Source organism: Homo sapiens, chromosome 3 (genome assembly GCF_000001405.40).
Source record: "Homo sapiens chromosome 3, GRCh38.p14 Primary Assembly".
NCBI classification, from domain to species: domain Eukaryota; kingdom Metazoa; phylum Chordata; class Mammalia; order Primates; family Hominidae; genus Homo; species Homo sapiens.
In genome coordinates, this window is record NC_000003.12 from 10564965 (window position 1) to 10580098 (window position 15134).

Sequence of the window (15134 nt, forward strand, 5' to 3'; positions counted from 1 at the left end):
AAATCCTCATCTGAATGGAAGATGAGTAGAAATAATATGTGTCACTTCTAGGACTTGACTTAAAACACTGGGGGGTGTGTGTCTTCCACCTGGTCCCTGGAACTGTGAATGCAATGTGCCTGGGACACAGATCCCACCATGTAAATGAGGACAATATCCTAAGGGGTGGCAGAGCAACAGAATGCAAGGAACCTGGGTCAATGCATGACCTCGTGGAGTAGAGCACTCTTGGCAGGCTAGAGCAGCCAATTTAGACCCTAGAAAAAGTTTTCTACCCTGCTATTTGGAGGTCTCTTTGTTGCAGCAACCTAGCCTTTATTATCCTAACTAATACATTCTATGAAGGAAGCACAGCTTGGGAAGGTAAATGACTGTGTCCGGGTTTCCCTAGACCTCTGTGATTTCTGCTGTTCCCCATCTCTCGCGTGGGCTTAGTCACCAGGTCCTGACAACTCTAATTCTGAAAGCCTCTGGAATCTGTTTTGCTTCTCTGCCTCCTTGGCCATATCTCTGGCTCGAGTCCTCATTGTCTGTTGCCTAGACTACTGCAACAGCCTCTTGATCACTGGGGTCCCCTCCAGCCCAGACATTACATTGTTGGGCAAATTATTTTTCTAAACTCAGAACTGATGGTGTGACTGCCAGATTTAAACCCCAGCTGCCTGAGGTCTGGGGTCCTGTGGCATTCATAGTTGGTCTTCAATGTGGAGCCTCCAGTCTTCAGGCCAGAGGGGTAGTAGAGAATCAGACAAACCTGGATTCAAATCTTGGCTTCACCTATTGCTAGCTGGTGACTTGGCTAAGTTACTTCAACAAACGTAATACAGTGATTAAGAGAATGAACTCTGGAGTTAGAGTGGCTGAGTCCCAGTCCTTCTTACTAGCTGTGTGGCCTTGGGCAAGCGAATAAAACTCTCTGTGCCTCATCATTTGCTTTCCCTCACTTCATCCATCCATCCTTCCACCTACCGACCCCCTCAGCTGTCTATCCACCTATCTACCTTCCCATCTGTCCACCCACTCATCCACCCACCCATGTATCTGTCTGTCTGCCTACTATGTCTATTCATCCATGAGTCCAGATGTTCACCAGCTATCTGCCCATGCACCCACCCCTCCTTCCACTGATTTCTCCACCCACCCTCCAACTCTCTTATTCATCCATCCACCTATCAGTCCATCCATCCAGCTTATCCATCTGTCCCTCGATTCCATTATCTGTTGATACCCACTGTTCACCCACTAGTTAGTGGGGAAACCAAGTTCAATAAATGACTTCAGAGACCCGGGGTAAGAGCTGATGTTCATGCTCATATGCAAGGTCCTAGCTAATTAGGAGGCAGGGCAGGATTCAGTACAGGGCCTTTGTTTCTATCCACTGTGCTGGTGGCTCTTGGTCCCATTGGATCCAACATCATTTTACTTTTTTTCTTTATCTTCCAAGAAAATTCACACATCATATAACCTACCAATACACATAATTTCAAAAAGGCATATGATGCCCCAACTGTAATAAAGAAGAGAAATAAAATGAAAGTCATTTATAACAACAAGATGTGCTTTTCCAGTGTGACTATAATGAGACAGTCAGATAATGGATCCTACTTGGGATGAATTAGTTTAGATTGAAGAGAAGGCAACGTTCAACGGAATATTGTCGCCTCTTTTCTTTATAGTTGACATTTTGATGTGAGGGCTAAATAAATACATTCATAGATATACATCAAATCACTGGAAATGTGACAGTTACTAACACAGACAGGGTGGCTGTAACAGCAGTGGGACCTGAGTGACATGCTGGTTCTGAGTTTTTAACATGGGGCCAGTTCTTGGTGAAGTTCTGAACAAAATGAAGGACAGTTTTCCATCAATTTCCTTGATTGTCTAATTCCTGGAAATTTCAGGATATATTAGTGGGTTAAGATTTAACACAAAGTCAGGTTCTGGGTTCAGATACGTACAAACAGGATTTCCACTGATATAAACATCCAATAAGACATCCGACACTGTGCCAGTTGTATGATAGGTCTTCAATGTGTGGGGCCCATGCTTGGTTCTTGTGCCCTGCCACTGTGACAGCTTAGAACTCTCCCATTCCCTCTCCTCACCATAACTGGGGAGACCCATTGATATCTAGACCAGCCCCTCCTTCTAGAGGTGTCTCTCCTGGTGTCAATCTTCCTCCCAACCACAATCTAACTGGGGCCAGAGGCTTCATTTTAGCCATAGCTAATCAAAGCCTACCCAGGGACAGAATGCCCTTTTGGAATTTAGGGGGCCACATGTTGCAGTGAAAGTGGGTTTGCAACCACAAGTCCTGAAACAAAAGTCTCAGCTCTATGACCTCAGGGAATTCTGCAGGCCTCTCTGAGCTTCTGTTTCTGGGATCACCAAATGGACATGATAATGTCTCCTGTGTTAGGAGACAGGCAAATCTAACCTGCATTTGCTCAGTCTAATTTTGTTGATGCTGATAGGAATGCCATATAGGGGGGTGTGGGCTCAGGAGCCTGCCAGCCTGGCTGTGCAATCTGACAGCCTCCCTTATCAGCTGGGTGGTCTTGGGCATGACTTCTGTGAGTCTCAGTTTCCTCTTCTGAAAAATAGAGATGATGACAGGGGCTGCTTCACAAGATCATTGTGAAAATTTCATGAGAAAATTCATGCAAAGTGTTTTCCACAGGTGCTTCGTTTAGAGCAAGCCCTCAATAAGTATTAGTTATTCAAGTTATTATTTCTATTGATAATTAATCATGGAACATGGGGAATGTGTGCTTGGCTTGAGGAATAGGATGTGGTGATGGAAAACAATACCAGCCTGGGAGCTTCTTGAGGGCTGAGACTGCGTTTCATCCACTTTGGCCCTCTCAGTGGGTGCTCAGGGAACAAATGAATGGTTATTGGTTTCATGGTGAGGATTGATGAATGGTCAAACTGTACCGATAGGGACCATGAAGAGTGAGTAAATTGTGTGAAGGTGGCAGCATTGACTGTCTTCTGAGAAGGGCTAAGACAGTATATCCTGTTTGGCCAACTCCAAAAATGACACCTGTACCCAGGTGAGGGGAAGGCAAAGGTGAAGAGGCCCTTTGTGGCTGGAGCAGGCTCTGTCCCTCAGCAGAGTTAAGAACAAAGAGGGCGAGCCTGGTCCTGCCCAGAGTGGGCTCAGGCTGTGCCCCTGACACTGTAGGTCCTGCAGCCTTAGGTGCAGGGCTGCTGCCACACCAAGGACAGCTCGCTTACCTCTGCCGGCCACAAAGGAAGAATGGGGAGGCCCATGGGGTGCTTTCCTGGACCCCGGTACTGTGAACCAAGCCAGCTTGCTCATCCAGTGCCATATTCTCCACCCTCCACAACCATACACCAAAGCCATGAGTGTCCAGGAGGTTTTCAAAGCAGCTTTTAGGCACCTGGTAGGATCAGGGCTCATGGGTGTCCCATGGTGTGAAAACCCACACACTTGATGTTCAGAGAAAGAAAAATCTCCTGAACATGAGGCCCAGCAGAGAAAGCCTAGATTCTCTAAGCTTGAAACAGACAGGTTCAGGAGGCTGAAACTCAGGGGGAAGCTTGCTTCCTGCACTTCAGTTCTGGCTGTTGAACAATTAGTCTACTACCAGCTATTTATGGTTTTCACTGCTTCAGAAATGTCCCTTTGGACTCAAGGCCTCAGGAAACCACGGCCTCCTGTTCAGTTTGGGAATCGTGTGTGACTTCCTTATAAGCTCAGGCAACATCCCTGAATAACCACTCAGATGCTTTTCCCAATGTGTTCCCAGGCTCAGCCATTGGCTCCAGACCTATAGCCGTGTCTTTCTGTTTGCCTGGTTTCCACTGCTCAGAATGCAGACAAGCAGCTGTGGCTGTCACATAGCCTCGGTCTTCCATTTTCCCTGCCTGGCTTTTGTTTGAACAACAGACAGGCAAAATAAAACCCTACCAGCCGACAGTGTCAGGGACAAAAAGAAAGAATATAGAGTTGCCATCAGCTAGAAACAACAACTTGCCGAATATAACTTCTGCAGCTGCTGCTATATGCAGACTCTTCCCCATCTCGATGGATCCTCCTCTTAACCCTGGGACGTGGTATCGCTGTTCACTTTTTCCAGATGAGGAAACTGAGGAGGGGTGACATGAATGATCTGAGCTCACACTCCAGGGAGTATCAGAGCCAAGCGTCAAGTCCTTATGTGGCCCCAAAGCCCTTGCTCCACCCAAGAGAAATAGGGAAAAATGTGACAATTATAAAAACAATCGCTCCTCTTTATTGAGCACCTACTGTATTCAAGACACTATCCTGGCTACGCAGGTGATATATTTTAACGGGAGCCACCCCTCACTCACATCCCTAGTGGGAAGAATTAACCCTATTTTGCAGGTGAGGAAACAGAAGCAGCAGCTTGGGAAGGTGAAGTGACTTGCCCTCGGTCCCACGGTGAGGAAGTGCTAGAAATAGGATTGGGGGCCAACTCTTTTCACTCCTTTCCTCTCCCAAGGAGTGATACAGATGCTTCTAGATGGCACCCTGACCAGTATTTTTTTTCTTATTTTAGTAGTTATAGATTATTTTTATGAACCAGAAAAAAAATGTGCAACTAGCATGTAATCCCTGACCTCATGGATATTAATCCTTAGGATGAAGCTAAGATGGACAGTGAGGACAGGGAGTCAGTTCAAGGAAGAATATTAAGGTGTACCGTTCAGAGCTTTTTGGAGTGTGTGAGCTTGAAGGGGCTCAGGTGTAACACTCTGGGGTGAAAGTGAAGGAGGTGAGGCAAGTCCCGAAGTGAAGGGACTTGCTGAGGGTCAACAACCGGAGGCTGAACCCTAACACCCACTAAAGCTAGGTTCACAGCATAGACTGCTCTTTTTGGTCCCAGGCTTGCCTCCACCTACTGGCTCTATTTGCCTAACACAGACTGGGATACCTATTTGGCCAGAAGTCTTTAGAGAAGTTCCAGGAGTTGAAAGACAGAAAACAAAATTGGGAAGCTAAACTGGTAGCCTAGCCTGGGGCCATTTTGATGGAAGAATATTTAAAATCCAGCCCGGCCCACCAGATTGCCCCTAGGACACTGGTCATTTACTTTGGATGCCTGATGTCTGAACCCCTTCCTCTGTTTGGGGAGCTGCCCATCTTGTGACTCAGAACCCACCTTCCCATTGAAGAAGCTGCAGATGCCTCTAGCGTCCTTCACTGTGCAGGGTCAGACTCGAGTTCCAGCTCTGCCACTAATTCACTCTAAAATAAAGGGCCCGTTCAGGTATCTTCCAAGAGCACTCTGAGCTGGGAAATTGAACTAGACAGGTTCCAAGGCTAATTACAAGCTGACATTTTATGATTTGATGACTAAAGTGCTCATTGTGGAATTGCAGGCGGCAGCAGTTTGGTGAGTGGGAGGGATTTGCAGCAGAGGGAGCTGCCTGGCACCCCTCGACTCACATCACTAAGGCGACCACCCACTCTGCTTAGCTGTGAGGTCAGCTTGGTCCATTGTTAGTGATTTTAAGAAACCAGTGTCTCCCCAGTAGGCCGGGCTGGAGCCATCATGGGCTCTACTTGTTGCACCTGAAACAATGAAATATTTATCAAAATATCTCAGTTGATTTTTCCCTCGTAATTAAGGCAGGGTTAAGAAGGTGGATTCCTCACTTTCTCCAGCCAAAGTTATCTGAACACAAAGGCTGGCCTCTTGGTGGAGAGAGTTACATGGAAACCCCTCTGGCGTGTTGAGCAATGACCTGGCACAAGTCAGTCCCTGCTGGAACCCAGCCCAAAACTCCATTGGCGAGAGGCAAAGGCTCCCTGCCCCCTGCAATGAGACCTACTCTCCCCAGGACTTCGCAGCACCTCAACGCCCTGCTGTACTGACCAAGGCCTGAAAGGCCCTCCTCACTGCCATGCCCCGAGAGGCCCACTTTGCCCATCTGAGGCCCCTACTCTCCAATCCTTAATGAAGATAAATTCTCACTGCCATTACTGAAGCACACAAGGAAAGCTAGGTTTAAATATAAAATTCTGGGTCAGTGAGTTGGCCTGCTTCATTCTTTTCACATATCCCAGGCCACAAACGAAAAGAGACAAATTTCTCTGCATCTCCGTTGCTCTAAGAATTTACATTGAACTGGTGGTGGGGGAAAGGTGGAAGTTTGGGGAGGAAGAAGGTGTTCTGGAAGTTTCTTCATGCTGTGGTTACATGAAGTGAAGAAGGCAGAATATTCCCCAAACCAACTTGGTGTCCACAGGGCCAATGCCATTGCCGTGGGGTTCTCTAGCTCCCCCAAGATGGGCAGAAGCTGGGGAAGGTCCTTGTATGAGGCCAGGAGGACTGCCTGGTGGTGCCAGGAACAGAGCCTTCAGCAGGGATGCCAGAGGGCCAGGTAGGTGACTCGTGGCCTCACGCCCCATGGGCTGTGAGAACCCACTGTACCACACAAGGCCAGGGGAGCCAGCATGCTGCCTGGAGTCCCTAGAGGTAGGTTGCCTGGAGGAGGGGCCGCTGAACTGGCTGCAGAAGCCTGGGCCGTTTCCATAAGAAAGAGTCCACGTGAGCAAGGCATGGACATGGGCATGGGACCATCAGTCTGGCAAGAGTTGGGGGCCTAGAAGGAGAGGAAAGCCAGATAAGCTCAGCCAGGCTACTCAGCTCAGCTCCTAGTAGCACTGAACGCCAAGCTCAAAGCTTTGGATGGGCTTGGAAGGGGTTGAAGAAAGTCACAATCACTGTGGTGGGGAGGTCGGGTGCTCCCTTGTTTAAATGCACCCTGGATGACTCCTTAACTGAAGGAAATGAGCATCGTTGGGTTCCCACTCAGCACCCAGCAGTGTCCTGTGTCGCTTCTGGCACCTTGGCCAATCCTTTAAACAGTCTGGTGAGATAGCAATTCCTTATCTCTAAAACGGAGCTCTGGAAGATTGTGCAATTGGCTCCCATTCCTGAGCCTCCCCAAAATTCATGTCTTTTGCTAAGTGACTTTGCAGTTTCTCCCATTAAGGGGGTCAACTTCCCCACCCCTTGGCTTTCTGCTTGGCCATGTGACTTGCTCTGTCCAACAGAACAAGGTGTGCCAAGTTGGAATCTAGACTCTAAGAGGTACTGTGGGTTTCCACCTGCCCCCATGCCTCTGCCATCGCCATAAGAAGAGCATCCCTATTTTAAACTTGTTGGTTGCAGGCGGAGGCTCAGAGACAAATGAAGCCAGCCTGGATCAGCTGCCCGCTGGCCCATCTGCAGACTTGGGAGCTAAGCTAAGAAGTGTTTACTGTTGTGTTACTGTATCTGGCTGAAGAACTATGGTTGTTTGTTACACAGCATCAGTATGGCCACAGCTAACTAATACACAGGCCGAAAAACAGACCCTACCTCCTAGAGTTCTAGGGAGGATTCAATAAAAACAATCCACATAAAATCCTTAGACAAGAGTTTCAGTTGGGGAAGATGAAAAATTTGTGGAAATGGGTGGTGGTGATGGTTGCACAATAATGTGAATATATTTAATGCTGCTGAACCACACACTTATAAATGGCTAAAATGGTAAATTTTATGTTATGTGTATTTTAGCACAATTAAAAAATACCACATAGTGCCTGGCACATACGAAGCACTTAGTAGATATTAGCAATTATTAGGAGCAGGAGGGGGTGTGTGGTGAAACTACATACTCCAACTACACTACATGGAATGATAGATGAACAGTTCTGGAATGATGGTGCCTGCCCCCACTGCTCACTTCCTCCAGGAAGGGGCAAACGCTCATTCATATTAATGGGTTGAAGGGGCATCTGCAGGGGCCACATGAGAAAATGTCAGAACTGGAAGACTTCTTGGCAGTGTCTAACTTCAGTCTCTTCATTGGGGGAAACTGAGGCTCACAGAGGTAACCCAAGGTTTCTCAGTAACTTAGGGGCAGCTCTAAAATTGGAAGCTGCATCTCTCAGCTCCAAGTCCAGTGCTCTTTCTATTCTACCAGAGACAGGAACACAATAAGGCTTCATCTAATCACTAATGATGGAATTTCAGGCATCTGCAGACGGGACGTGCAGATTCCTGGTGCATCTCAAATCATGTGAACAAGACAATCAACACACAAAGCAATTTCTGCCCGCAGGTTCCTTTGACACAATGATAATGAGATAAAATGGTTTTTATTTTCCTCTTCTTTCTTTTTAAAATCAAGCCAAATACATTTTTTTTTTTTTGCATGGAATATACTCTAGTTTTGGACAGGGTTAATTAAAAGAAAAAAATACATATTAAAAGGCCAATTTGATTACTGCTACACATTAGTAATGCAATGAATAATTGATTGAATGTCTATGTTAATTGCTTCCTGAATCAGTGATTTTGCTGCTGAATTTCGAAGAGCTGTTGCTATTTTGAAGTTAGTGATAAGTTCACTGCACCAGGATGGCAGAACTTGGCACAGAGAGTAAGCTCCTGCATGGCACCCCACCTCTACTTCCTGTTCACCCCCTGCCTCCCTGACTGCATGCTCAGTCTCTTCCCTAGAACTTTGATCACTACCTGTTCCTGAAACAAGAGGGTCTCAAATTTTGGTCAATTTCAGATTTCTGGGGGAGCTTGTTGAAATGCATATTCCTGTGTCCCCATCCAGGTTTTGATCCCAGGCCTGGGACTCTGTATTGTTAACAAGTGTCTCAGAGGCTTGGTTGGGTACCATCCTTCAGCAAGAACTGGCTGGGGTAGAAATAGCCTATGCTGAGCCAGGCTCCAGACTCTGAGAGCAACGCCATCTTACTCTCTGGGTTCCTATCTACTGCTTCTTTGCTGGTAGAGTGCCCCATTCTATACAAACTGTTCCACTGGGACGTCCTGGAGACTCCCTGACTAAACTCATCTAAAAAGAAGCCTTCTTCAATTTGCTTTTCCTCTGGGAGCTGTCAGCCCAGCAAATACGGCGTCTGCCTGGTCCTGCTTGCTCAAACCCAGATCCTTTCTGGTCTCTCACTGGTCCTTCCCCAAACATTCACTCAGCAGCCAGACTCTGCCTGTCTCCCCCCATTATAAATCCTATTGACACGTTCAATTCTGCTATTTCAAAAAAATTTGTTTCCAGAGATTCTTCTTGTTCTCCCAGGGGTCCTTTTATTGCTTCTCCCTCTTGTCTTATCTCCCAGCAATGTTAATTAATTGCAGTGGGTTTTGGAAGTTATCTTCTGCTTTCTGCTTTGCCTCTATTTTCTCCCAGTTTCTTTCTTCTGGGTTTTGGTTCCTGCCTCCCTCCGATGCCCGCTGAGCCTAGGAGTCTATTCCACATAAGGGGGAAACATGAAACTGCTGATTGTGAGCTCTGTGGGGTAAGGTGGTCGCTGAATGGTGGGCTTCACCGAGGTGGCTGAGCTGTGCCCCGGGAGGCCCCCACACAGCAGTGGTGATGGCTGTTTCTTTTGGTGCTGGTGACTTTCCCTAGAGCAGAATCATCTGGTCCTCTGCCTGGAGGATCTGCCTGGGCCATCTGTCTGCCTGGCGTTCTCAGAGCATACTAGGCAAGGGGCATTCTCCATATCAACCTTTTCTTCTATTGATTTTCAGTCCATCTCATCCTTTTAACAAGGTCTAGATGATGCTTATCTCCCTGGTGGGCATTTTGGGTAATTATTAGTTTCTTTTTTCCTTATCTCTAATTTATAATTATTATTTACATTTCTCTATACACAAAGTCACTTGTAAAACATGGAGCACACATATTTAAAAGTAGTAATATCTACTTGGAATGATCTTTTTAAGATTAAATTAGATCATGAGTGTAAGGAACCCTGCAAAGCTTACAATATTAATTTAAAAAGTAAACAGGTCTCAGCTGTGTGGGGGAAGGAGGAGTGGACTACTTCGGGGTGGGAGACTGCACGGTAGGGGAAGGATGTGTGGGTATGGAAGACCCGGTGAGGAGGGGGATATGAGGGTGGGATTCTTGGGTTTGTCTGTCCCTTGCAGGGAGTGTGGTGGGAACAGCCATTCACAAAGGGCTGGCTGACTTGACACCTGGGCCTGTGTCTCAGGGCCTGCCGGGCTGGGACACACCCAGACCCCACATGTCAACAAGGGCCTGAGTAAACCCTGGTATTTCTGAATCCTTGGTGAAGTCCCCGCTGCCGACTGCTCAGTGCCTGGGGTCACAATACAGCCTTTCCGCCCGGGGGAGAAAGCTGAAAGAAAGAGCTGGAAGTGGGGATAGGTTCCCCAACCCCTCCTCCCACCACTTAGGCTCCAGCACCAGAAAAAGCCATCTGGATCACAATTCAGAATTGCTGGGCAGAGGGTGTACCTGAGGGGAGGTGCAAGAAGGCTGAGCCTGAGGGCCCTATATGTCTGTAAAGCTCAGAGGGTTATTATGCCCCATTTTGCAGATGAGAAAACTAAGGCCAATGGGGCTCAGACAAAATAATAATTATAGAGAAGAGGTCATTGGGAAAATGACCTCCTAGAGTTCTAGGGAGGATTCAACGAAAACAATCCATATAAAGTCTTTAGATAAGAGTTTCAGTTGGGGAAGATGAAGAATTTGTGGAGATGGATAGTGGTGATGGTTGCACAATGATGTGAATATATTTAATGCTGCTGAACTACACACTTATGGGAGCTATGGAAGGCTCTTGAGCAGGGGCAGTGATAGGTGGACACTGACTTGAGAAGACTTAGCTGGCAGCTCATGCATGCTAGGTTATGTCTGGGGTAGAGAGGATGAGAAATGTGCATAAAAACACCAATACCTGGAGAGGAGAATTTCCCCTGGGCTGCTGGCTGGCAGCCCTCTGTTGTCTCTGGTGTCTGAGGGAAGTTGTGCTGGCAGGGAGGCTCTATGTAGGGTTGCATTTGGGAGTTTTGCCCAAATCTATGGGCTTCTAGGATAACCTAGAGAAGCGCTAGTTATTTGAGGGAGAATCTGACTTCTGGAAACTGTCCAAAATCTGGGCCTTAGAGACCCCATGTGTTCAGTTCTGAGCAAGATAGGAAACCTTAAAATTGTCCCTCATGTCCAGGGATGCGTGGCCCTTAACAAGCACTTGGCATGGATGGCCTCACTCCCCTGCACAATGACCCTGTACCGCAAATGCTGCTAACGTGTTCATTTCACACATGGCGAAGCTGGGGCTTTGCCTAGGCCCTACAGCTAGTTGCTGGCAGAGCAAAGTTACAAAGCCAGGTTTGCTGACTGGAGGTGTCCAGGCCTCCAGATGCCTTAGCCCCTGTGCTGACTGCCCCCGTGGATGGACCTGGCACCAGAAAAAGGGCAGGGCCGAGGATGTCCTGCGCACACTCGGCAGAACGTCCTTGCAGGCATGAGCATGCTTCTCCTGCGGCCTCACTCCACACTCCGAGGCTTCCCTTCTCACTCAGGCTGCTTAGGCCGAGTGTACGGTGAACACTGAGCTCAATCAGAATGATTGTTCTTATTATTATTGTTATTTTTTGAGACATCATCTTGCTCTGTTGCCCAGGCTGGAGTGCAGTGGTATCATCATGGCTCACTGCAGCATCAACCTCCTGGGCTCAATCAATCCTCCCACCTGTCTTCTTAGTAGCTGAAACTACAGGTGTGGTGCCACCTTTCCCGGCTAATTTTTAAATTGTTTGTAGAGATGGGGTCTCACTATATTCCCCAGGCTGGTCTTCAACTCCTGGCCTCAAGTAATCCTCCTGCCTCGGCCTCCCAAATTGCTGGGATTACAGCCATGAGCCACCACACCTGGCTCAGAATGATTATTTAAAGGTCCAGAGTCCTTTTGAAGAGCTGGAGGGAATGACGAGCTTGGCATAACGTGGGAGGCTGTCTTCAGGACAATATAAGAAGCTGGGGCCGGGCGCGGTGGCTCACGTCTGTAATCCCAGCACTTTGGGAGGCCAAGGTGGGCGGATCACAAGGTCAGGAATTCGAGACCAGCCTGGTCAATATGGTGAAACCCCGTCTCTACTAAAATTAGCCTGGTATGGTGGCGGGTGCCTGTAGTCCCAGCTACTCGGGAGGCTGAGGCAGGAGAATTGCTTGAACCTGGGAGGCGGAGGTTGCAGTGAGCCAAGATCACCACTGCACTCCAGCCTGGGTGACAGAGTGAGACTCTGTGTCAAAAAAAAAAAAAAAAAAAAAAGAAGCTGCCTGGGTATGGTCCTTGGGCCAGCAGCCTCATTGTCACCTAGGAACTTGATGGAAGTCCAGGCACTGAGATCCCATTCCAGATCTACTGAGCTGGAATCTGCAGTTAGCAGGATTCCTGGAGAATCACATTCACCTTAGGACTTGAGAATCACTAGGCTGGGAGGCCAACAGGTGTGGCAAAACCGCCAAGTTGCCATAGGGAATCTTGGGAGGCTCTGGGGTTCCAGACACTGGCTGAGATTCCTGGCTTCTCATCTAGTCTTTCCATTTATGGAAAGTGGCAAGAGTTCAGAGATAGGAGGTAACTTTCCCAGTGTCACCCGGCAAGACAGGAGCAGAGCTGGTATAGGATCTCAGACTTTTGGTGTCCTCTTCCTCAGCTTTAATCCCCAAGGCCATCAGGGGATCCCAGGGCTGCAGAAACCATCGGCTGGGCCAGGGCCAAGCAGGAGTCTCCTGAAGCTCCATCATCCTCATTAATCTCCCAACCTCAGAACGGGTTGTTTTCCTGAGAGGAACAATCAGTGCCTTTGGGGACAGAAAACCCCTGGGAGGGGGACTCAGAGAAGGCCCTGGGCTGCACAATGTAGATGGTGTCCTGCCAGCTCCCAAAAGAACAATCTTTCTTGGCAAGCTCATGGGGATGCATTCCCGGCAGCGTGACTCGGAATGGCAGGGTTACCGGGGAACCTGGGATCTCCCTGGGGATGCCAGAGGGAACCCGAGGCACTGTGCCAGAGGAGGATGAGCACTGAGCTGAGAGTCCACAGACCAGCAGCCTGGTCCAACACTGCTGCTGATGGTTTTCAACCATCCACTTCCTGTGCAGAAAACACTAATAACTATTGCTTATATTCTGATTCTGTCCATGAGCTCCATGACTCTAACTGTGGCTGTGACACAGTCCCGAAATCCAGAATCCCAGAGTCCAAGTCTCTACTCTGTCTTCAGTAACCCTGTGATCTAGGCCCTAGATTCCAGGGCAAGGGGCTCAGCATCTCTGAGGCTCAGTTTCTGCTTCTATGTAATGGGTATGATCACACACCTACCATAGTGGCGAAACCTATAATGACTGACTGTATCAAGTGTTGCTGGAAACATGGAGCAACAGAGGCTCTCATACGTTGCTGGTGGGAGTGTGAAATGGAACAGCCATTTTGGAAAAAGTTTTGGTAGTTTCAAGTAAAGCAAAACCTACACCTACCCTATGGCCCAGCAATCCCACTCCACATAAGAGAAATAAAAATATATAGGAGATCGAGATCATCCTGGCTAACATGGTGAAATCCCGTTTCTACTAAAAAAAATACAAAAAATTAACCAGGTGTGGTGGCACGTGCCTGTAGTCCCACCTACTCGGGAGGTTGAGGCAGGAGAATTGCTTGAACCCAGGAGGTGGAGGTTGCAGTTAGCCGAGATCTCGCCACTGCACTCCAGCCTGGGTGACAGAGAGAGAGTCCATCTCAAAAAAAAAAAACAAAAAGAAAAACATATATATGTATATGACCACCAAAGACTTATACACAGATATTCATAGAGACTTAATTCACTATAGCTTAAGACTGGAAACAACCCAAATGCCCACCCACAAGAGAACAGATGAACAACTTGTGATGTAGTCTGACAATGAAATACTACACGGCTCTGAAAATGAATGGACCATTGATACCTGGAGCACATGGGTGATGGATGAATCTCACAATGTTGAGTGAAATAAGCCAGGCAGGAAGAGAACACACCATGCGATTCCATTTATATGAGGTTCCAGAGTAGGTGAAACTAATCTACCGTGGTAATGGTCAGAGCAGTGGTCTCCTCTGGAGGGCAAGGAGGGATCCACTGGGAAGGGGCGGTGGCCTCCTGGGGAGGTGGCAACGTGCTACAGCTGGATCTGGGTATTGGTCATGCATGTAGAAACAGAGGTAAAAATTCACCCAGGAGTGCACTTGAGATTTGCTCATTGTACTGTGCAGTTTTACTCAATGAGAGAAAGAAAGATTAAGCCATGTGGGAGGGATGGGGAGGACCAGGCCTACCTCCCAGGGAAGTTCTGAGAATGGTACTAAAGAAGACCATGAGTCCTGCTCATAGTGGATGCTCAACCAACGATTGCTAAAGATAAGTTGAAGTTTTGTAGGGGAGGCACCTCTCATTCTCTTGGGCCTCAGCTTCTTGCTCTGTAAAATGGGAATAATGAGCTTGCAGCTCGTGGAGATGATGCTGCAAATGTGCCCAGAACAGGGCTCGCCTCCTGAGTGGCCAAGGTGGGGTCTGTGCAGCTGCCCTTCACTTAGAAACAGACTGAGAAGGGCCCAGTGCGGTGGCTCACGCCTGTAATCCCAGCACTTTGGGAGGCCAAGGCAGGCAGATCCCCTGAGGTCAGGAGTTCAAGAGCAGCCTGGCTAACATGGTGAAACCCCCATCTCTACTAAAAATACAATAATTAGCTGGGCATGGTGGTGCACACCTGTAACTCCAGCACTTTGGGAGGTCGAGGCGGGCAGAGCACCTGAGGTCAGGAGTTCGAGACCAGCCTGGCCAAAATGGCAAAACCCTGTCTCTACTAAAAAATACAAAAATTAGCCAGGCATGGTAGTGAATGCCTGTAATCCCAGTTACTTGGGAGGCTGAGGTAGGAGAATCACTTGAACCTGGCAGGCAGAGGTTGCAGTGAGCTGAGATCATGCCACTGCACTCCAGCCTGGGCAACAGAGCGAGACTCCGTCTTGAAAACAAAACAAAACAAAACAAAACAAAACAAAACAAAGAAACAGACCCAGAAGGTGGGCCTCAAAGTGCCGCCCCACAGTTTCCCCTTCCATGAATGTAGCACAAGTGACTCCATTTGGCTCAAAAAAGTTTCTAACGCCTCCTGGCAGGTGGAAGTTCTGAGCACCCTGGTCACAGAGAGGCCCAAGGGATTCAGAATGCAGTGATCCAGGGGCTCTAATGGCAGGGATAGGCTGAGGTCCCACCCACTGACAGCCACTCTTCCGGTCATCCTACATCAACAGGGG

General features: G+C 48.1%; 1 protein-coding gene and 1 long non-coding RNA gene across 7 annotated transcripts in view, besides 1 other annotated feature; both read right to left on the minus strand.

Moving 5' to 3' along the window:
• The window catches only part of ATP2B2 (ATPase plasma membrane Ca2+ transporting 2), a 384094-nt gene that overhangs the window by 240942 nt on the left and 128018 nt on the right, over window positions 1-15134 (minus strand). The gene's annotated exons all lie outside the window — the stretch shown is intronic.
• ATP2B2-IT1 (ATP2B2 intronic transcript 1) lies at window positions 1291-5411 on the minus strand. The gene is made up of 2 exons (NR_046765.1): window positions 5157-5411; window positions 1291-1507 (listed from the first exon to the last, which is right to left on the minus strand). It is a non-coding gene; the product is annotated as an ATP2B2 intronic transcript 1 (long non-coding RNA).
• Window positions 6495-6994: an enhancer, noted in NCBI's record as "H3K4me1 hESC enhancer chr3:10613143-10613642 (GRCh37/hg19 assembly coordinates)". NCBI's record gives its function as "activates a minimal SCP1, AML or CMV promoter by ChIP-STARR-seq in naive H9 embryonic stem cells {active_cell/tissue: H9 hESC(naive)}" and the evidence as "EXISTENCE:reporter gene assay evidence [ECO:0000049][PMID:30033119]".